This window comes from Homo sapiens, chromosome 10 (assembly GCF_000001405.40).
Source record: "Homo sapiens chromosome 10, GRCh38.p14 Primary Assembly".
In the NCBI taxonomy this organism is placed as follows: domain Eukaryota; kingdom Metazoa; phylum Chordata; class Mammalia; order Primates; family Hominidae; genus Homo; species Homo sapiens.
Genome location: NC_000010.11, coordinates 23,565,074 through 23,587,970, shown reverse-complemented (window position 1 = coordinate 23,587,970; position 22,897 = coordinate 23,565,074). Strand labels below are relative to the sequence as shown.

Genomic DNA, 22,897 nt, shown 5'->3' with positions numbered 1-22,897 from the left:
GCATGGGCAAGGACTTCATGACTAAAACACGAAAAGCAATGGTAACAAAAGCCAAAATAGACAAGTGGGATCTAATTAAACGAAAGAGCTTCTGCACAGCAAAAGAAACTATCATCAGAGTGAACAGGCAACCTACAGAATGGGAGGTAATTTTTTCAGTCTACCCAACTGACAAAGTGCTAATATCCAGAATCTACAAAGAACTTAAATAAATTTACAAGAAAAAAACAAACAACCCCCTCAAAAAGTGGCCAAAGGATATGAACAGACACTTCTCAAAAGAAGACATTTATGCAGCCAACAGACACACGAAAAAAAGCTCATCATCACTGGTCATCAGAGAAATGCAAATCAAAACCACAGTGAGATACCATCTCACACCAGTTACAATGGCAATCATTAAAAAGTCAGGAAACAACAGGTGCTGGAGAGGATGTGAAGAAATAGGAACACTTTTACACTGTTGGTGGGACTGTAAACTGGTTCAACCATTGTGGAAGTCGGTGTGGCAATTCCTCAGGGATCTAGAATTAGAAATACCATTTAACCCAGCCATCCCATTACTGGGTATATACCCAAAGGATTATAAATCATGCTACTATAAAGACACATGCACACGTATGTTTATTGCGGCACTATTCACAATAGCAAAGACTTGAAACCAACCCAAATGTCCACCAATGATAGACTGGATTAAGAAAATGTGGCACATATACACCATGGAATACTATGCAGCCATAAAAAAATGATGAGTTCATGTCCTTTGCAGGGACATGGATGAAGCTGGAAACCATCATTCTGAGCAAACTATCACAAGGACAGAAAACCAAACACCGCATGTTCTCACACATAGGTGGGAATTGGACAATGAGAACACTTGAACACAGGGAAGGCAACATCACACACAGGGGCCTGTCATGGGGTTGGGGGCTGGGGGAGGGATAGCATTAGGAGAAATACCTAATGTAAATGACAAGTTAATGGGTGCAGCGAACCAACAAGGCACATGTATACCTATGTAACAAATCTGCACGTTGTACACGTGTACCCTAGAACTTAAAGTATAATTTTAAAAAAAGAAAAAAAAGAAGAAATTTTTAATTTTTCATTAGGAATTTTGTTTGTTCTTAATGGCACACCCCAGCCTTATTCCTACTTCCCGTGGCATATACCAATCACCCTAAATTTTGCCTCAGTCAGCCAAACAACCCTATAAAAAGCATTGGGGGCATAATCATTATCTCTTTGATTACCAAGCATCTCCTGAGTGTTAGGCTCAAGCACTATCTTAGGTTCAGAGAGATTTAGAAACGATGAAAGATGAACTACATATTCCTGTAAGGAATTTACAATGTCTCTCCCCAAAAAATCTGAAAAGCATCACACCTTGTCAAATTGTAACAGTACTGGCCTTGCATTTAAACTGTTACCCTACAATTATACATTTCAAAGCCACATCTTCATTAAACTGTTGTGGATGTTTACTGTTGACATCTGTCATTTGGAAATTTTCCCTTAACAAAATTTATTGTGAACAAGTAACAAAGTTTATTGCTTCAGGACATCTGGCATATAAAAATGGCCCCTTTGGAAAGAACTGAACGTTAAAGTGTTTTCTCTATACCTGAGCTTTATACAAGTTTTGCTAGAATGAAAGAAGTTTTCCCTCCATTTAAACAAAGTCAGCTATATGCAGCTCATGGGTCACAAATGATTCACGGGCTAACAAATTATGCCTCCAAAGAGCAGTTGAATATTTATTCTGACACAGCTTTCACAGGACAACCAACAACCTCATTTGAAGTAAATTCCTTAGTCTGTTCCAATAAGAATAATTGTGTTGGAGCTGTGCTCCCTGCTCTAAAGAGGGCAAATCCATTTACTGCTGCAGAAAAGTCTCTTGGATGGATCTAACCTCTTTGCTTTGTGGGTTCTGATGCTGCTGAGTAAGCCAATGATATTTCAAGTTGCTGCTTGTTTGGACACAGTTGGGCAGAACTCTGTAGAGTGCTTTTTTCTTCAACGACTCAATCATGACTGCAAAAACAGCATCAGTATCAGAGATGTGGAGTAGTAACTCAGCTTGACAGCACTGAACTAACGGACATCCATCATTGGATTGTTCACACATCTTTCACAATTGAGTGTCTGACTTTAAAAGGAATTGTCATATAGTCTTTAGCATGTCAGTAGCATTCATCTGTAGCAATCTGTAGTGTTTATCTGTAGTTTAAATCCAAAAAGAAAAGAAAAATTAATCTTTCATGCAAGGCTGCTTTTGGAACAAAATTAATAATGGCTGCAATGTGCAGAATGATTCTCTCATGTTGTGTAGGCTAAATCAGACTAATTTAATTTTTTTGCAGTAATGGCTTAAAATATTGCAGAAGAAACATTTGAAACACTGTGAACATGATACCACTATACAACCTATTTACCAATCTCTTTTAGAGAGTGCTCACCAAGATTATTCTTGGCTCAATGATGTGTTTGCTTTCCCTCATAAATCTAACACTGTTTTTTCAGATTCATCCATTGTCATTTTTGGTGAATTCTAATTGGCTCCCACTGAGGCTTGGCAGCCTCCAAACTGATCATATGCCAGTTTAATTGACTCCAGGGAATATTTAACAAATTGTTCACTATTTCACTGTGCACTGAAGGATAGCTGCAACTATTCTTTTTTCCTGTCATCACCATTGGGGCCATTATGACAACCCTGTACATGTTTTATTTTGTGGCATAATTTTCTGTGCTGGAAAAATAATAACGCTTCACCACCTCCATCTTCTCTACCATTGAAACTATGATGAGATCAAAGATTGACTCAAGCTAATACATGGAAAAATAATGATTGCTAGCCTGTCAATTTGTAGAGCAATTTGTAACTCAATTCCTTATAATGCTGGACACCTACAAAGATGTATTGCAATGAAATCATTGTGTGATAATTCATTCCATCCTTCTAAAATGAACTTTTAATCAGCTAAGAAAATGTAATAGATCTATTCATCAGGTGTGTTTAATGAATGAGTTTTAAATAACACAGGATCATAGGAAACATCTGTGAAATCTTTGAATACAAGCTTTGTTTCTTTAAAAACAAATCCGTTAGAGAAAAATATTGAACTTCATCACATTGTTTATAGACTACAAAGATATGACTTCCAGGTAATAATTTATAAAGCAATGAAATGAAAATATGCAAATTTTCAAGAAGCATTCAACATAAGAGGCTTTTCTTGTTTAGAAAAGTTGTCTCTTTAATCCCTTCAATTCAGTGAGTTAACACTGAGCAATGAAAGGTACTCCATGTTGCAGAGGAAAACTGTGAGTTATAGCTCTGAATTTGGACAAACACACAAGCTGGAGGGACAGATGGGGGAGCCGCATGCAATCATCAGCAGAGCCCTCTCCTTAAATGAGAATATGCCATAGTCAGAGATAGGAAGATATTTCCTCTGCCGATATATAGGGAACAAAGAGTACTATGACCATGACATTGTGAATGAGTCCAAAGGACAAATGGCAAAAGGTGCACAGAGTTGTTACAACTTTCATAATCTAATCTGCCTTCCTCAAATGAGAGTTTAGAATTATAAAGCTACATGGCCATCCAGTTGGCACAAAAGCGCACTGCTATAACCATTGATTCATTTCTTGACTTCTTTTTTTCTTTTGCCAGCGCTTGTCTTTTAGCTATATTCCAGTTGCAGACCACAATTCTACCTTTCACTGTGTTCATTCTGCTGGAAACCTGGCAGGACCCATCACCCCATGCTTACTGGACCACATCAATTTTGGAGCCAGCTGCTCTAACATTTGGCAACATTAGGATCCACGGAATAACCCCTACAGTATCTGCAGTGGCTCTACCCATGTTAGCACCTATAAAAATAACAGTTACTGAGCACCAACTATGTGCCGAGCACTACTTTAGAAACTTATGATACATTAAGGAACAGACAAGGATACTGAGGTGTCTGACTTTGAGCCAAAATCCTACATGTGCTCTTTCAAGACAGACCTTAGCCAATCACAAAGACTTCACCTGGCAGGCATCACAAGGCATGAGCGGGAGGAGTGATCCTCCCCTTACTAGAGTTGGTGCACAGCCAAAGCGTTGCATCCTCTGAAGGAAGCTGCACTCAGGGACTCAGGTGCATGCCCCTGGCTGGACATGCTCTTACACATACCCATTTTCCTAGCCTAGGTGACTCCAGTTGGAGGCCTGCTTACCTTCGGGAAGCGGGTGGGAGGGCTCAGCTGAGACACTGTTCAGATGCCTCTGCTAAGACTTCCTAATGGGTGTGGGGCAAGAGGAGGGGCTTAAAGCTAAAGACACCTTTTTCCACTGTGACTCAGTTCTCAGTACTTTTCCCACTCCTAGCCCTTCTCTGCCTCCTCCAATATCCCACTCCATAAAACAGCAGGAGCCTTTTGTTCAGTGTCCCTTTAGCAATGAGATGATTTTCCTGTGTGAACCATTCCTAGAAACACAAAAATGGAACAATGGGGAAGCCAGCACCTTCTCTTATTGGTCTCTTGCTTGTACTGTTGCAATAAGTAAATAAAGGCCTTATTGTTTGGCCCATTGTTCAAATTAACTACCTTGGCACCTGGCAGTTTTCAAACAGGTGCCTGCCTTTGAGAAGCTTACATTCTAGATTACTCCCTGACTTGGGTTAAGCATTAAAGATTGTTCAAAAGTAAACATCAGAAAAAATGGTAGCACATTAATTTGTTATTAGTAATTAGTAATGCAACTCAAATTTTAATTTCAGAACCACCAGTCAGGGAAGGTACAAAACACAAAATGCCCAAGGTTATAGGTTCTGGGAAGCATTTTCTGAAAAGTCTTAGTAGTCATGAGACATTATTACAGGCCATACATCTGGGAGTGATGGGTTCTCTTACAAAGGGAGGCAGCTGGTTATTTGATTTGGGTTGGTTTGATTCAGTTTGTTGGTTTTGCCTGCCCACATTTTTTTTCTTTCTGAAACTGCCTTTCTCCATCAGTGGGTACCAGACTTAGGTAAACTCACAGTTAAGGGCACAGTCTTCCAGACTGCTACATCTAGCCAAAACTTCTGACACCAACTGCAATGAGAATATCAAGCTTCAAAGTCTAAGGAAACAGACGTCACAGGTCTGGCCTCAATACAGACACCAATTGTGAGTTTTGGGGTCCCCCACCACCACCTTCGCTTCAGACCAACTGGCTACAAATTCAGGGGTTTCTATGACCACCCTTAGGCTTGATAATCTGCTAGGACAACTCAAAGAATTCAGACAAACACTATACTTATGATTACAGCTGTATTATAGCAAAAGAATATAAATTAGAAGCAGAGGCATATAGGATGAGTTCTGGGAGGATTCCAGATATAAAGTTTTCATCATCGTCAAGGATGCCTTACACTCCCATTATCAAAATGTAACAAAACACTCCCAGTACTGCCAACCTGGGAAACTCACCTGAACTTTAGTGTCCAGAGTGATTATTGCGGTTTTCTTACATAGGCATGACTTAATCATTGACCACATAGCTGAACTCAACTTCCAGCACCCTCTTCTTGTCTCTCTGGAGGTCAGACTTATATCCTGTGGCCCAAAGGCCCAATTCTGTAATCACACAGTTGGTCTTTCTGGAATGGCGATCCCACCACCCTGAGTCACCTCATTAGCATAAACTATCAGGTTTAGGTCTGAGGGGTCCACCATGAATAGCAAAGACACTCCCATCACTCTGGAAGTTCTAAAGGTTTAGGGGTTTCCTCCCAGGAGCTGGGACAAAGGTCAGTAATCTCTCTGGGTAAAGTTAATATTCTATTATGTAGTGGGGTTGCCAATCACCACCTGACTTAAGTTGGTCAGTTGGAACACCGCATTCTCTGACAATATTCAATGATTGCTTCAAGGTTGAGTATATCACAAGCTCAGTCATGAGATGCTCCCAGAGGCTCTGCCACCAGAGCTATCAAATAAACTTTTCTTTATACATTGGTGCTGTGATTTTGAGAAAAGAGTGTGTGTGTGTGTGTGTGTGTGTGTGTGTGTGAGAGAGAGAGAGAGAGACCTTGTATCTCTTGAGTCTCTGAATTTAGCCATGTGAAAAGAAAGTCTCCTAGACTTCTCAGTTATAAGAGCTGATAGATTCCTTTTTGTGGAGGGGGTTGTTAATTTAGCTGGTGAGATTTCTGTGACTTGCAATCAAAAGAGCCTTGTCTAATACCTGCAGGACTCTTGTAGGTGCAGAAGTGGAGCTGAAGGGTGGATACAAACAACCTTCAACAGCACGATGTTGCCCATGGCCTTTCTCGCTTTCTAGAAGTTTTCTAAAAGTACCACACAGCTTGTTTTCACTCTAAGTTAATCAAGGAATTAAAATGGATGTATACTCCACAAGAAAGTCATGACACTGACTGATTACTTGATACTTTTAAAACCATATAAAGTATATTTTAAACCAGGAAAAAATACTGGTGATTGGGGTTTTAATCCCTATTCAGCCCCACAACCATTCATTCAAATCAAAAGAAGTAATCCTATCAGTAAGCTTTGTTCATGGGAACATTGGATAAGCTGAATGGAAGGTTATTGCCACTCAAATCCAGCTTTAGAATTTGTAGTTCTAACCCTTTGAGTGGTACCACCCCCTTGTTATAAACATGTGTGATATATTAATATCATGCTATCCATGTATATAAAAACTTTAGTGTTAAAGTACTAACATTTACCAATGATTTAATTTTTATATAAGTTATCATTTCACATTATCTATATTATAACTCTCTCTGGCTCACATGCATTCTGATAAAATTTCTTAAGTGAGAGAGAAGTGCATGGTAGCAAAGGCAGGGAGTTGAGGTTGGGTAAAAGCCACAGCAGAATTCACTAATGCCTCAGCCCACAGGGTGTTTTATTTATATAAACATCACCTGTCACAGGCAGTAACTCAGAATAGAAATCACACAGAACTGTTCAGGTAAAGGAAATAAATCTGCATAGACCTTGATAGAATATCCTCTTTCTATAAATGCCCTAATCACAGAAACTATCTCTCCTGTTTGTTCTTACTGTGTTTCTGCAAAGATTGTGTCAGAGACATGCACATGCAAGCTGGAAGAAGAGAGATTTTTGGGAAAAAATTGTTTTTCAATAATCTGACGATTCCCATGCTTCTCTTTAATTTTGAGCCAAGCATTGTTATTACCACTAACCATATTTGAAGTTGGTCTATGACTAAATCTGGGCTGCTTTATTAAGTGGAATGAATACACTCAAGTCTACATAATTATTTACCACTTAATTCATTCTCACAGAAGCAACGTAGTATATGCATAAAAGCTGCCTTCAGTTGGCATGAACACTATCATAATCGTTCTGAGGTTAACATCAAAAAATTGTAAGTTTCAGGTGGCAGGTGTCTGAAATAAGAAGTTTCTTTACTCAACAAAAATAAGCCTTTTGAAGTCTTCTGGACTAGTTTTAAAACATGTTCCTCTCAGACTTAAAGGTCCTATTATGCATTGAAATATTGCAACAGATAGCTGTATTCTATCAGCCTACTCAGATTCCCTCCAATATCCTTGCCTCCCAGCACACTCTGCTACAGCAAAGGACCAAGCAAACACTTGCTCTGGACGTGTAGAGCTCTCCCAATGGGCAGTCACCCACAATTTGACGTCCCCCATCATTCGAGACTTGGCTGAAGCACCAGAATTGTAGATTCCAGATGATGCAACTCAGAAATATGGGGAGTTTAAATTCCCACGCGGTCCTGTGCTTTCAAGAATTGGTCCAAGAAAGAGGCTTCGAGGAAAATAGGAGAGAATTGGGATTCTAAAAGCAATGCCCCAGGCTGGGTCACTAGGAGACACTTACCTGATTTGGAGTGGAGAAGGAAGGCAGTGGCCATTTTGAGATTTAGAAGGCAGAAGGCAGGCAGTGGCCATTTTGCAGCTGATCCCTGTTGCTGATGGCGTAATTCACCACATTAGCCTGAAGCAGCATGTGGGCCTGAAATTGATCTACCTTCCCAGTTTGGCTTCAGCTTTTCTGACTCCTGGGCCAGGTGTACGTGTTTAGCTCTGTGAGGAAGAGCTCCAGTTTGCACAAGACCACCCTCTTCATGAGAGTGAGAGGCAACAAAAATGGCTGCAGCTTCAGCCCACCCTCAAGGGCTCACAGCCTGCTCATGATCTTCCCTTTCAGATCGCCTGCCCAGTGGACTTGAAGCTCCAGCATTACATATGGAGACAGCTTTTTGAAAACCATTTTACCAGCTCCCACAACTGCATAAGCCAATTCCCTGTGACAAATCCCATGTAGAATCTTTCTCTTGGTTCTGCTTCTCTGGTTAAACCGTAACTGAAAAACCTGGGCTAACCTTTACTAGTAGGAAACAAGAGATGGCAGAGAGGGAGACACGAATCCCTCCTCTTTCCTTTTGCTCAAAGACTACTCCGAGGCGTAGTGCCTCACTGAAGCCCAGCCAGGGAAGTGCCGAGTGGGCACAGCCTGAGCTGCTTCCCACTCACCACGAAGAGGTAGCAAGCATGGCTACGCATCTTGCATTCATTTTCATCTTTCCTTTCTTCTTTTCTCCTCATCCTTGCTTCTCTAGGTCTAAACATACCATATAAAGCATGAACCTTTCTTTAGTTCTCCCTTAGAATATTTTCTGAGGGAAAAGTTTTCTTAGCATAGACAACTATGCTAAGAAAATTGGAACAGCGGGTGACAGGTGCACTAAAATCTCAGACTTCACCACTATACAACTCATCCATGTAACCCAAAACCACTTGTACTCCAAAAGCTATTGAAATAAAAAATATATATAATTGGAATAGGAACATGGTTCCACAAAGCAGACCTGCATGACAGAATTTAAGGGTCACATTGCCCATTCATCTGAGCCACCTCCTTTTACCTTTCAGCCTGCTCTTTTTCCAATTGAGATTTAATGCTGGTTTCTTTTCAGATTCTCCATATTTTTCACAAGTGAACTCATCTATTTTTGTGGCTTTAAAGACTTTCCTTCTGCTAATGATTCCAAAGTCTTATCTCCAGCCCAGACATTTCTCCTGGGCTGCAGATTTATGTATCCAACTGTCTTCCATGGCAAACACTTCAAGCACAACATCTCCTGGCCTATATTCATCTCCTCCCCACACCCAGTCTTGCCCAGTATTCCCTATCTCAGCAGAACCTAGAGTCACTCTTGATTCCTCATCACCTTCACCTTTCACATTCATTTAGACATCAAGTTCTAGCTGTTCTCCCTCATAAATATATCTCAAAACACCATTTTTCTCCATCTTAACTGCCACTACCTTGAATAATCCTATTAACCCACCATCCATTCTTGCCCGAAATCACACCATGGCCCCCTAATAGGCTTTATATTTTCTAATCTTTCTGCTCTCAGATCCTTTCTGTGTGCTACAGCCAGAAAGATCTTTCTGAACTGCAAACCTAATCATTATGAGGTTTAAAACCAATCAGTCTGTTCCATTGCTTTTAGGATAGAATCCAGTCTCCTTAACAGGTCTAATCAGATCCTTGATGATCTGGTCCTGCTTAGCTCACAGCCATTATCATCTTCACCTTCAATTACAGCCCTAAAAACATTCTTTCAGTGCCTTAAAGGTAGCTTGCACTCTCTCCTCTGGGCCTTCACACAGGACATTCCCTTTATCAAAAAACCTTTTCTACCTTTCCCAATTCCATCTTTCAAGTCTCGAATTTGGCATCACTTTCTCCCAGAAGCCCTCTTGAGTCCCCTAGAGCAGAGGCAAGGTGATCCGTTGCTCCTTGCTCTTTTTATTCTGTTACACTTATCATGCATTACTGTAATAGCTTGTTTAATTGTTATTTCCCCCACTAGACTCTATAACTTGTTTGTCTCACTTACTGCTGTATGCCTAATACAGAATGCATGGTCTGGAACAGAGGAGACACTCCATAAATATTTGATGAATGAATGACCATCATTTTAAAGAGACAGAATGGCTCCCAGGCCGGGATAATTTCACCATAATATTATTAAATGTATAGACATGTCTAAATAAAGAATGCATCAATCATTAAAGGAGCTGGACAGTTTGGAAACATAGGACAAGGTGAGTTATTGATGTAAATGCTGCAGTGCTTATCCAAACATACTCAGAAATGAAGGAATATTCACTAATGGACTTCAAACACTATGGTCCCATTAGTAAGAAAATCCCATTTATGAAATGGACATATCCAGCTCTTTTAGCCAAATGTCATTAACTTCCTATTTTGTAATTCCATAACCATGTAGCAATTTTGTAATTATTATTTGGTTTCCCATGTAAGTCTGTCTACAGGGAGAATGATATGCAAATTTGGAGTATGTCAGGTCTCTGTGATGGTAATTTCTCATGGGGAATTAACAAATTGCCTGCAGATTATGGTGTGCACTCATTATGAACCAACGATAAGTGGATCTCATCCACTATTTGTTCTTTGGACACTTCATCCACTCTTACTTTGCTTCTTAGGTTCAGTGGCCACAGGTTGTGGAAGCAAGCCCTGGATGCCCACAACAAACGGTGGAAGGAATGTGACCTTGGCAGGGACCATGCCCTATAACTGTTAATTCTTTTTTGCCCTCAGCAGCTTCCTAGCTAGTTCAGGATTATTTGCCAAAGAACCATAGTTCACAAGCAGGATGCTTTTATAACATCATTGTCTGGTAGATCGAGAGAGTTATCTCAGAATTTACTCACCATCTTGAGTGATTTCTAAGACATACTGACCAAAATAACAGAAATGAAAGGTTTCTAAAAGCATTAAAAAAAAAAGTGGCCCAAGTCAATCAAAGTCACTAGAAATATAGGCTCTTGGATCTGATGCTACAGAGTAAGGCTTTCAGTACATGTTTAAAATCACAGTAATTTCAAGCCAGCAATAGTGTGCTTAAAATATCACAGCAATGGAGAACCTGGAGCAGTGGTTCACACCTGTAATCCTAGTGATTTAGGAGACCAAGGCAGGAGGATCACTTGGAGGCCAGGAGTTTGAGACCAGCCTGGGCAACACAGCAAGACCTCCTCTCTATAAGAAGAAGAAGAAATAAATAAAAGTTTTAAAGATTACAGCAAGGAAGTTTATACCTAAAGAGAATGGATAAATTTCCTTTGTTGGTAGAATAAAAAAGCAGCGGGAAATTCCAAGGGCCTCTTGTTTTCATAATCACCCTGTATGATGAAAGATAGTTTGACAAGTAGAAAAACAGTTTAATACGTTTCCATATATTTAAAGAAAAGCCTGATGATGGTTTATAATTTCAATTTTTGTAAAATGAATGAAATTAACAACATCTATTTAGTAAAAGTACTAATGCAAGTAACACAAGTAAAAATTGTACAATTGATGTAGGCACCTTGTAGATATATATGTGTTATACCTCACGTACACTCCAGCAGCATATAAAAATGGTAGCAATTAATGCTCTGTTTCATACGGGAAAGTACAATGCCTCATTTAGATCTTTGTCCTTTACAACCAAAAAGGACATGAGATAATTGGAAATAGTCTTGGAACAGTGCTACTTATGAATTTTTTCTGAGAGTGGGTGTTAGTCTGTGGCCTTGTTTCTGTTCCCATATCAGAGAAGGGAGTCCAGTTTAAATTAATGCAAAGTACAAGCACGTTTAGCATTAGATTATACCTTTCATTTCCCCAGTGACTCAAGCAAAACATGAGTTTTCTTTAATTAAAATGTGCATGGGGAATGCTAATGAAAATTTTGGTAAGGCTATAATACTTTTTGAAAACAAAGTTAATCACGCACTGAAGAAGAAAGAAGAGGAGGAAAAGAAAAGAAAGAAGAAAAGAAGACCTAGCCAAAAGGAGGAGTTAAAATGACTTTCATCAATTTCTTGACATTTAGCACGACAACCTAGTAGCATACCTTTTTATGAAGAGAAGACAGTGGAGGTAAAGATGTTTTACGTGTTAATAAAAACATAAGTGAAGATTGTGTTACAGGAATTCACCTGTAAGAAAGCAAGCAAAATGTGTCAGCATTTAATTAATATGTGAGTAGTGAGGTGGAAGCTCACTTTTTTAACGTAAGTGAAGGTGAACAAGATTGCAAATCTCATTTATTTTCTTTTGTAATTTATTATCTTTTAAAATCTTTTTTTAACCTCCTGTCTTAGCCTGTTTGGGTTGCTATAACAAAATGCCTAAGATTGGGTAATTAATCAAAATTAGAAATATGTTTCTTACAGTTCTGGAGGCTGGGAAGTCAAAGATCAAGGCACCAACAAGTTTGGTGTCTGGTGAGGGCCTGATCTCTGCTCCCAAGGTGGTGCCTTGAGTGCTGCATCCTCTAGAAGAGAAAAACACTGTGTCCTCACATGGCAGAAGGGACAAAAGAGCAAATGGATGTAGCTAGTTCCCTCCAGCCCTTTTAAAATGTTGTTAGTACTATTCTTGAGGGTACTGCCCTCATTACTTAATCACCTCCTAATGGACTCACCTCTTAATACTATCACATTGGTTACTGAATTTCAACATGTGAATTTTGGAGGGGGCACAAACAGTCAAGCCATAGCACCTCCTAATTCTCAATCTTTATTAATTCCTTAGACAAGCCTTGAGGCCACTGGTCTTTCCTTTAGTATGCTAGACACTGTCATGTAACCATTCTCTACCGAACACATCTGGACCCCTTGCCAACTCTGCCTGCCTGAATATAGAATGAGTGGCACCCATGAAAGACTTGGGGGATGTTAGAGATGGGAGGGACTATATTATCCAACTTTCATTTTCAAAATAAAGAAAAAACAGGAGCCCAGAGAGAAGACCCAGGTTGCCCATTGTTATGTAGCTGCTTAGTGGCCCAGCTGGGGTGGAACCTCAGGGTTCCTAACTCCCAGGTCCAATGCTTCCTCCAGCACATAGGCTTCCTCTATCCCTCACAGAGTATCATGGAAATGACCCTGGACCAGTATCTTGATCCCTGGACTTGAGATCAACATTTGCCACTCATCAGATGTGTGACTTGAGGCAAATGCAGAGGCCTTGGTGAGCTGATTTCCCAACCTTTGAAACAAGGGGTTGAACTCTCTAGGTTCACTTCTGCTTCTACTTTAATCTGAAAAGATGGTTATCCTCCACCTGAGGAGAAGCACCTATTTCCATTTTCTTAAGTTTATATCCATTTAAAAATATATCTTTTATTTTTAAATAAAAAGGAAAGTCTCACTCTGTTGCCCGGGCTGGTCTTGAAAGTGTTGGCAGAGTTGATTTCTTCTGAGACACTCTCTTCAGCTTGTAGATAGCTGTCTTCTCCCTGGGACTTCGTGTGGTTTTCCTTTTGTAACTAAGTCCAAATTTCCTCTTCTTATAAAGACACCAGTCGTATTGGATTAGGGCCCATCTATAAGACCTTATTTTAAATAAAGTATCTCCTTAAAGGCTCTATTTCTAAATACAGTCACATTCTGAGGTTCTGTGGGTTAGGACTTCAGCATATGAATTCTTGGGGAAGATAATTCAGCCCATAACAGAAACCATGTGATAATATTCTTCCTTGATAGTTTCTCTTTTGAGAAATGATGTATTTCTTCCTTTTCCCTTCAATTGCATATTTTTAGTCCCTTTGAGAGCCCCTTTATGAAGACTAAGAACATGGACCTGTCCTCGAAAGCCACAGCATTGGCAGCTGTGATTTCAGTTTAGGTGAAGGTGACCTTATATAGGCAGTTCTAAATCACCTCTGGAAAACAGTGGAAGTCCAGGGTTTCCCTGGCACTTCAAGTCTGTTGCAGACTTGGGGGTCCCTGTGTAGTCCAGGAATCCTATCTCAGCCCAGAATTAGGCACTCTGGGAGGACCCTCTGAGGTAGGTGCTGGTGTTCTAGTATCTGACTAGATTCAGATGCATCCTTTGATAATAAAATCTGCCTTTGGGTGTGGCAGGGAACATGAGAAATTGATGAACAGCAATAGTGAAAATGGTCATGTAACTCTGTAAACAGAAGCTTCTTTTATTATATAGACCCAATTTTAGTTTCATTAAAAGGGAGATAGGCTGGGTACGGTGGCTCACATCTGTAATCCCAATGCTTTAGGAGGCCAAGCTGGGAGGATCACTTGAGACCAGGAGTTTGAGGCTGCAGTGAGCTCTAATTGCACCAATGCACTCCAGCCTGGGTAATGGAGGGAGATCCTGTCTCTTAAAAACAAAACACACCCACACTCTGAGAAATAAATTTCTGTAGCACTTTGTTATGGCCACCCTTGCAAATTAATATAATTTCCCTTTTTGTTTTAGAAATGATCCTCTTTATTATAAAAGTAACACATCTTCCAAATATTCCAATGGAGGGATTGGAAGCTGCATGGGTACAGTGCCCTTTCATATTTATGACACATTGCATAGTACCTAATATGCAACAGATGTCAAAAAAGTATTTGACTGACTACAGGAAAAATTTAAACTACAGATGAGTATTAATAAAAAATAAAAATAACAGGTAATCTTGTCTTACTGACCAATGATAGCCACTATTTTCACATAGTATCATTTTTCTCAGCCATTAAATATTCTTTAAAAAACATGTTTTAATGTTAAATGACGAGTTAATGGGTGCAGCACACCAACCTGGCACATGTATACATATGTAACTAACCTGCACATTGTGCACATGTACCCTAAAACTTAAAGTATAATAAAAAATAAAGCTATTAGAAACTTTAAAAAAAAATCATGTTTTGTAACACCTGAATGAAATTCTAGTAGAAGGACAAACCATAATTTTTAGCCATTCCCTTACTGTTAGGTATTTAAATTGTTTCAATTTTTTGTCAATATAAAAAAGTCATAAAAGATATCTTTGTAATCATATCATTGTGTCCTGTTTCCTCAGAACAAATTAATAGAGTAGAATTATTAAGTCAAATGTATGCACGATATTAAAGCCTTCATATATATATCAAATTTTTATTCTGGAAGGTTTTACCAATTTATACTTCTCCATCAGTGTATTGGGATTCTAGCTTCCAATAACAATAATAATCACAATACTAATATTAACAGAGCATTTGCTATATGCCAGATGAGACGTTAAACACTTTATAAGCATTATTTCACTTAATCCCCTCAAAAAGACTGTGAGGTGATTACTAATGTTATCTGCATTTTACAGCTGAGGACAATAGTCTTAGAGAAATTATATGGCAAGCCCAAGTTCCCTCAGCTAGTAAGAGGAGGAGCTAAGAAGCAAAACCAGTCTGACTCTAGTAACCTCCTGGTATTTTCACCAATCCTGGATATTATTGTTTCTTACATATTTGCTAATTTGATAGGCAAAAATAGATAGATTGTTTTAATTTGCATTTCCTAGTTTATTGATTAGTTTGAAGCCATTTTCCTATGTTTATTGACCATTTTGTGATAATGGTTTTTTTGAGTTGTCTTTCTCTGTCTGCTAGGCGTTTGAGAACTCCCTTGTATGTGACTTGCTTCTTTCCTCTTGATGCTTTCAGCATCTTCTCTTTCTCTTTGATCTTTGACATTTTAACTACAATATATCTTGGAGTAGTCTTATTTGTATTAAATCTGATTGCAACTTTTGACCTTCCTGTACCTGGATATTTATACCTTTCTCTGGGTTTGAAAAGTTTGCTGCTGTTATTTCTTTAAATAAACTTTCTATCCTTTATCTTTCTCTACTCCATCTTGAACATCAATATCTCACAGATTTGCTCATTTGATGCTATCCCATAAATCCCATAAGCCTTGTTCATTTTTGACCCTTTTTCCTTTTTTCTCTTCTGACTATATATTTTCAAAAAGCCTGTCTTTGAGTTCACAGATTCTTTCTTCTGCTTGATCAATTCTGCTATTGATGCTCTCTATTGCATTTTTCAGTTGGCTTATTGTATTTTTTAGCTCCAGGATTTGATTTTTTTTTAATTGTTATTATTTCAATCTCTCTGTTAAATTTCTTGTTCTGGTCACTCATAGTTTTCTCATTTCACTGAATTTTTCTCATATTTTCTTGAAGTTCATTGAGCTTCTTTAAAATAGCTATTTTGAATACCTTTTCATGAAATTTATACATCTTCATCTCTTTGGGGTTACTGGCACTTTATTTTGTCCATTTGATGACATCATGTTTCACTGACTGTTCTTGATGCTTACGGTCATACAGCAATGTCTGTGCATTGAAGAAGTAGGTACTTATTCCAGTTTTCGTAGTCTGGCTTTATCTGGGAATGTTCTTCAGCAGTAAGCCTGTCTAGAAATTCTAGGCAGGTCATTAATTGCAGTCCCTAAGCCTGTGATGGCCACAGCTATTGCAGTGCTAGGGGACGTTGTAAACCCAGGATCACTGCAGCCAATCTGAAATCCCTTGACTGCTGAGGCTGGTGCAGCATTAAGCTGAATTTCAAGCCCCCAACCACAGAGGCCTATCTGTCACTGTGGGTTATTCGGTACCCACAGCCACTGTATTTGACCAATGGTGATGTAGGCTAAACCTCAAGTCCATTTTGCAGGGAATATGAATTCCCATGTGGTGTCTGGATGGCTCTAGAGGTTCAGTCTTCAAGTACTAGCCTGGAGTGAGGGGCTGAGAGATTCTGCCTGGCACCGGGTTTTACTTTGGCAGGCCCAGTACTGGGGTCCAAGGAAAACTCCTATATTTACTTCCTTCTCTTTCCATCAAGCAAATGGTATCTCTCTCCACACTGTGCTGCCTGGAGTTGGGGGAGGGGTGATATGGGTACTGTAAAACTATCCTTCCTACCCTCTTCAATGTGTCTTTTTGTAGTATGATGCTTTAACCAGGTACTGTGATTTCTCACCTAGTTTCCTTAGCTCTTGTGAAGGTTTTTTGCATGTGAATAGTTACTCAAGTTGATGTTTCTGTGGGTGGATGATCACTACAGAGTCATATTCCACCATCTTGCTCCACTCCCCATCTGTCTCTGTTCTTTGTTCTTTCTGCTATTGGAGTGAAACAGCACAACAACTAAATATAAAAACTTTCATCTATTCATGATGCTTGTGAAGACTCCCAGAAACCAAGGTTTGGCACAGGTCTCACTAAGATTTGGAATCAACACTGCTGATTACTCATTCCAGCCAAACATTCAGTATAGTCTCATCATGTCGTAAGCAATACACATTTGGAGATAACCCACCCAGCTGCTAATTTTGTGAAGCATTATTTTCCCTTCTGTAGCATTGTAAACTATTTCAATTAGGTAGTCTTTTTTTTTTTTTTTTTTTTTTTGAGACAGAGTCTCGCTCTTTTGCCCAGGCTGGAGTGCAGCGGTGCAATCTTGGCTCACTGCAAGCTCCACCTCCCAGGTTCACGCCATTCTCCTGCCTCAGCCTCCCGAGTAGCTGGGACTACAGGTGCCTGCCACCACGCCCTGCTAATTTTTTTTGTATTTTTAGTAGAGACAGGGTTTCACTGTATAAGCCAGGGTGGTCTTGGTCTCGATCTCCTGACCTCGTGATCTGCCCGCCTCGGCCTCCCAAAGTGCTGGGATTAGAGGTGTGAGCCACAGTGCCTGGCCCGGGTAGTCTCTTAATATTTTATTAAGTCCAATTTTTTTACTGTTAACAAATCTTGACATTTTCCTCTCAAGCTGTGGAAGGAAAGAAAGAAAAAGAGGAAAATGGAGCAATAAACACTTCCTTTGGCTAACTTCTATGTAATCACTAAAGTTAGAAACATTATGGCACTGAAGCTCTAAGAACAGAGTTCTGAGTAAGGATGCACAATTTTTCTGGTGGTGGGGACAGGGAGAAGGCAGAAAAAGGAGGGCTTGTTTTTGTGCTATAAACCAGCTTTTAGCCATGCAGAAACATTTACCTTGGAGATAGGCTCAACGTGTAGAATGGATAATTATATGTTAAGGAGTTTAATTTAGGTTAAGAGAAGACACAGATTCATGGCAGACACATGAAACATTGACACAGCCCTGTGCTGTTGGGTTCACAATGCCCCATGGTATCAAGCTGATTCAAGGTTAAATTGATTAAGTATAGATCACATTGACAAAGAGATACAATTAAACAAAGGCTCGAGTCTGGAGAGTAATTAAAAGCCTCCTCCTTATTCAGCAGTCTAAGCTCCAAAGTTAGAATCAGGACATAGGAGGCCGAGCACAGTGGCTCATGTCTGTAATCTCAGTATTTTTGAGAAGTCGAGACGGGAAGATTGCTTGAGACCAGGAGTTGGAAACTACTCTGGGCAGCGTTGTGAGACTCCATCTCTACAAAAAAAAAAAAAAAAAAAAAAAAAAAAATTTAAATTAGCCGAGTGAGGTGGCACACACCTGTAATCTCAGCTACTTGGGAGGCTGAGGTGAGAGGATCACTTGAGCCCAGGAGTTCAAGGCTGCAATGTGCTGGAGTCACATCACTGCACTCCAGCCTGGGTGACAGGACAAGACACTGTGTCAAAAACAAACGAACGAACAAAAGGATCTAGGGAAAACGCTATACCTCCCCCGAAAACTGCTTTGTTTTATGTTTTTGTTCTTTTTTCTTTTTTTTTTGCTAATTTAAGAGAAAGGGAACATTTCTCTCCTTGAGATCCTGTTGTTTGATGCCCAGTTCAGAGGATGTGCATGTTAAGACGTGTTGATCCTTTAATAATTAAGAGCTGTGTCCGGATTGTTGACCTCCAGCCTTATTCAGCTTATCAGCAGTCACAGTCGGCAGTGACTGTGGGAAAACCAAGCCAAAGGGAGTTAAAACTGTTTAGACAGCAGCATTAGTGCTGACAGTGAGTTCCCCCAGTGGCAGCATCCTTGCCAGCTTATAAGCTTCATTTACAAGAACCAGGCTGCCCATAAAGCACATGCAGGGGAGTTACTCTGTTGTGTCAGGCTGGGAACTTTAGTTTAGATCACTCTGTAACTACTAGGAAATCATACAAAAATTTAAGTTGAAGCTGCTTTAATCAAATTCCAAAGGAAGGGTCATTAATATGCTGCTGCGAATAAAAGAATATGTAGTAAGTCTCTGAAAGGCTTTATAACAACAAGAAAAAGAATGCCAATTAGGATGACCTTAAAGGATTTGTAGAAAGCAGCTCATATTCATCATTAATGCCTCCAAAAGAGAACTTGCAGAAATAGATTGCTGACAGAATACATACCTTCAAACGTGCAGAAATTTTCATCCTATTTGCCCAACTTGCAGGGCAGGAGAGCAATCTCCACCTACCACATGCCGTCAGGATCTGGGTGCCCTGGTGCTTCTGCTTTTCTTAACAAAAGCTCAGGGAGCCACATAGTTGCCCAGGAACTCAAAGATGGAGCAGCAAAAGCCCTGTTCAGCCTGGCTCTGTGTTTGACTAGAATAAATCCAGAGAACCGGTTCATTTTCCCTATGGGGATAAAGGGAGACCTGCTCAGACACTCGCTGAGTGCTATAGTCCACAAATACAAGGTTTGATTAAACATAATGAACACAGGTGGAAAAACATATCCATACCTCCTTTTCTAGACACCAGCTATGGCAGAATTACAATTCTAAAATGAGATCAATCTAATAAACACATTCAAAAGGCCAACCCATTCAAATCCTTCTCCAAAGAAAAGGTTACTTTGTCATAGATTAATATCAATTTTGCCCAGCAATTAATTTGTCAGGAAACATTATTTTCAAAAGCACAATCGATTTTTGTTATCAGCTGTCTTTCACATGAAAAAAGAAATACTTCATATTTTAAAACAAATTAAAACAAAACATTGTTTTTCCTTTCAAAGACAGAACAACCTTAGGTTTGATAAATTGTTCTATAATTGTTTGGAAATTATAAATATATCTGAGTTTAACTAGGGTAATCTTTATACAAAATGATATCAAGTATGAATACTGTGACTAAATTCTAATTACTGAGAAAAGATAATTACATGCAAAACAAATAGAACTAATCAAAATCATTAGCAGAACTTGCTATCAATCCTTCAAATCTGATTTGGCCATCCAGAAGTCTAAGAGTGTGCAGAACAGGGGATATGGACATTAATTAAAAGGATATCTCTGAGAATGCCAGAGATTGACAAAGGGGTGACAATTACCATGAACAGTATTTGTAGAAGGGAAATTAGGGATAATGCTATCAGTTGCTAACATGCTAGTTTCCAAAACGTCCTGAGCAAGGCCAGACATTTCCTGATGGTTCTTAAAGATGCTTTTAGCAAATTTTATCTATTTGTAGCTTCTGATTACCACAACAGCAACCAAGCAGCTGAGACAGGGGAATATGATCTAAAATAGTGTTGGACTATTTCCTTTCCTCAGAGGAAATGGGTTTTGGTCTTCAAAATCAGCTCCTCAGCTACTCTCTCTTATTGACTGTTCCCTAGTCAACTTGAGATATCCCCTCCACCCAGAGGGAGAAACCTTTGCTCAAGGTGCCTTGATTTGCATTTTCAGCACTTCAACTTAACCCCCTTTTTTGTTGTTTGTTTTAAAAAGAAATGCTCTGAAGAGAGCACATGAAATACAAATAAACGTCAAAAAGCAGTAAACACTGAGAAGCAAGGCACAGAGTAGGTCAATGGTGATAAACCATAGGAGGAGCAGGAAAAAACTGAAGTAAAGATGAAACAAAATAATAGCTGCACATACAAAAATTCATCTTGGGTGAAAAAAAAAAAGCATCCGGGCAGTTGCCACCCCCCAGACAGAGATTTACTGTAAATAAAAAACCAGTCAGCAGGGAGATGATAAAAATGGAAGGCGACAAAGTTCATTAAGAAAACTTGATTGTATCTATTTCTTAGACATAAGGGAAATTTTAAAAAATATGAATATAACTTACTGGAGTAATGTCAGAATAGGGCTAGTGGAGAGTCAGAAATTTCACGATGTCCCAGTGGTTAAAAGGCCAGCCTCACTGCAGTATCAGTGGAGACCACATGAAAAGCCAGAACCCTTATCCCCTCCAAGTTATAAGCTGAGCTACCTACTTGGGTGTCATCAGAAGCCAAACAGGGATCATGAGTTTCTACCTCCACCAGGCAGTAACAAGGCAATGCTCACTTCTCCCTGCCAGAGTGGTGTCAGAATCTGCCAGCAAAACAGAAGATTTAAGTAACATCCAGTCTCCTAGTACACTACGAAAATGTCCAGATTTCAATCAAAAACCACTCCTCACACCAAAAAGTAAAACTATCTCAAACTGAATGCAAAAAGACAATCAATAGATACCAACATCAAGTGACAGAGTTGTTGGAATGGTCTAAAAATATTTTAAAGCAGGCATGATAAAAATGTTTCAAAGAACAATTATTTACACACTTGAAACAAATAAAAAGCAGAAAGCTTTAGCAAGAAATACAGAAAGTCTCAGCAAAGAACTAGAATATTTAAAGAAGAAACAAATAGAAAATTTAGAACTGAAAAACACAATAATTGAAATTTTAAAAACCTGGTAGATGTACTCAACAGCAGAATGAAGAAGACAGAGGGAAGAATTAGTGTACTGGAAGACACAATGATAAAAATTTCTTAGTCTAAACAACAAATCAAAAAAAGAAAGAACAGAGACTCAGGACCCTGTAGGACTATAAGAAGATATATATATATATATATATATATATATTCACGTCATCAGAATCCAAGAAAAAAAAAAGGAAAAGAAGATAGGGCTAAAGAGTTCTTGACCATAAAATGGCTGAAAACTTCCCAAATCTGGCAGAATAAACCTACAAATTTGAGAAGTTGAGTCCACCTTAAATAGGACAAACTCAAAGAAATCCATGCCAAAACATATCATAATTAAAGTTCTGAAAACTAAAGACAGAAAAATCTTAAACTTTACCTATACTAAAAAAAAAAGAATTCAAATGACAGTAGATTTCTCATCAGACACCAAGGAAGCCTGAAGGAAGCAACACATTTTTCAAGTGCTGAAAGAAAAGAATTGGCAACCCAGAATCTTATGTCCAGTGAAAATATGCCTTAGGAATAAAGAGGAAATCAAGAGTCTTACATTAACAAAAATAAAGAGAACTTGTCATCAATAGACCTATCCTGAAAGGACAGATAAAGAAAATTCCCTAAATAGAAAAGAAATGATAAAAGAAGAAAATTTTATACCAATAAGCAAGAACAAAAGTATAGTTGATCCTCATTATTTATAGATTCTGTATTTGTGAATCTTCCCATTCACTGAATTTTATTTGTAACCATGAAATTAATACTCACAGCACTTTCATAGTCATTCACAAACACGTGCAGAGTGGTAGAAAATTTGAGTCTTCTAATATATTTCAAGCTGAGGTTGAACATGGCTGTCACCTTTTGTTTCAGCTCATATTATAAACAAGTGCCTTTTTCGTAGTCTATCTAATGCTAAGTTATTTGCAATTTTTTACATTTTGTTGGCTAATGCACTGTTTAAAATGATCCCCACTGTAGTGCTGAAATGCTGTCTACTGTTTCTAAGTGCAAGAAAGCTGTGATGTGCCTGATGGAGAAACCATGTGTGTTAGATAAGCTTTATTTAGGCATGACTTACAGAGCTGTTGGCCATGAATTCAATGTTAATTGAATTTAAAGGTATCTTTAAATAGAAACATCTATGAAACAAGGTTATGTATTGATCAGTTGATAATATCATGACCTGAGGCTCCCAGGAATCTAACCTTGTATTTCCCCTAGGAGCAATGGTATAGTATTTGCTAATTCAGAGACTTTGTAGAATACAACTACTACAATAATGACAATGAATTGCATATAAAAAAGGAGGATGAAGGAAGGTAAAGAAGGGTAAGATCTCTATACTTCACTTGAACCAGTAAATAATAGCAGTAGACAATGATAAATTATGTATATGTAATGTAATACCCAGAGCAACAACTAAACAAGTCCT

At 38.9% G+C, this 22,897-nt stretch overlaps 1 long non-coding RNA gene across 2 annotated transcripts in view; it reads right to left on the bottom strand.

Moving 5' to 3' along the window:
- Nucleotides 1-1,730: 1,730 nt before the first annotated feature.
- Nucleotides 1,731-22,897, bottom strand: part of LOC105376454 (uncharacterized) — a 42,321-nt gene continuing 21,154 nt past the window's right edge. The window contains exons 5-11 of one of the 2 annotated variants that reach the window (XR_930753.3): nucleotides 19,169-19,399; nucleotides 16,857-16,998; nucleotides 12,268-12,370; nucleotides 11,948-12,032; nucleotides 7,888-8,093; nucleotides 5,479-5,625; nucleotides 1,731-2,223 (exon numbers count right to left, since the gene is read on the bottom strand). This is a non-coding gene — a long non-coding RNA (uncharacterized LOC105376454). The remainder of the gene's footprint in view (nucleotides 2,224-5,478; nucleotides 5,626-7,887; nucleotides 8,094-11,947; nucleotides 12,033-12,267; nucleotides 12,371-16,856; nucleotides 16,999-19,168; nucleotides 19,400-22,897) is intronic. The other variant, XR_930754.3, reaches the window with a different exon arrangement.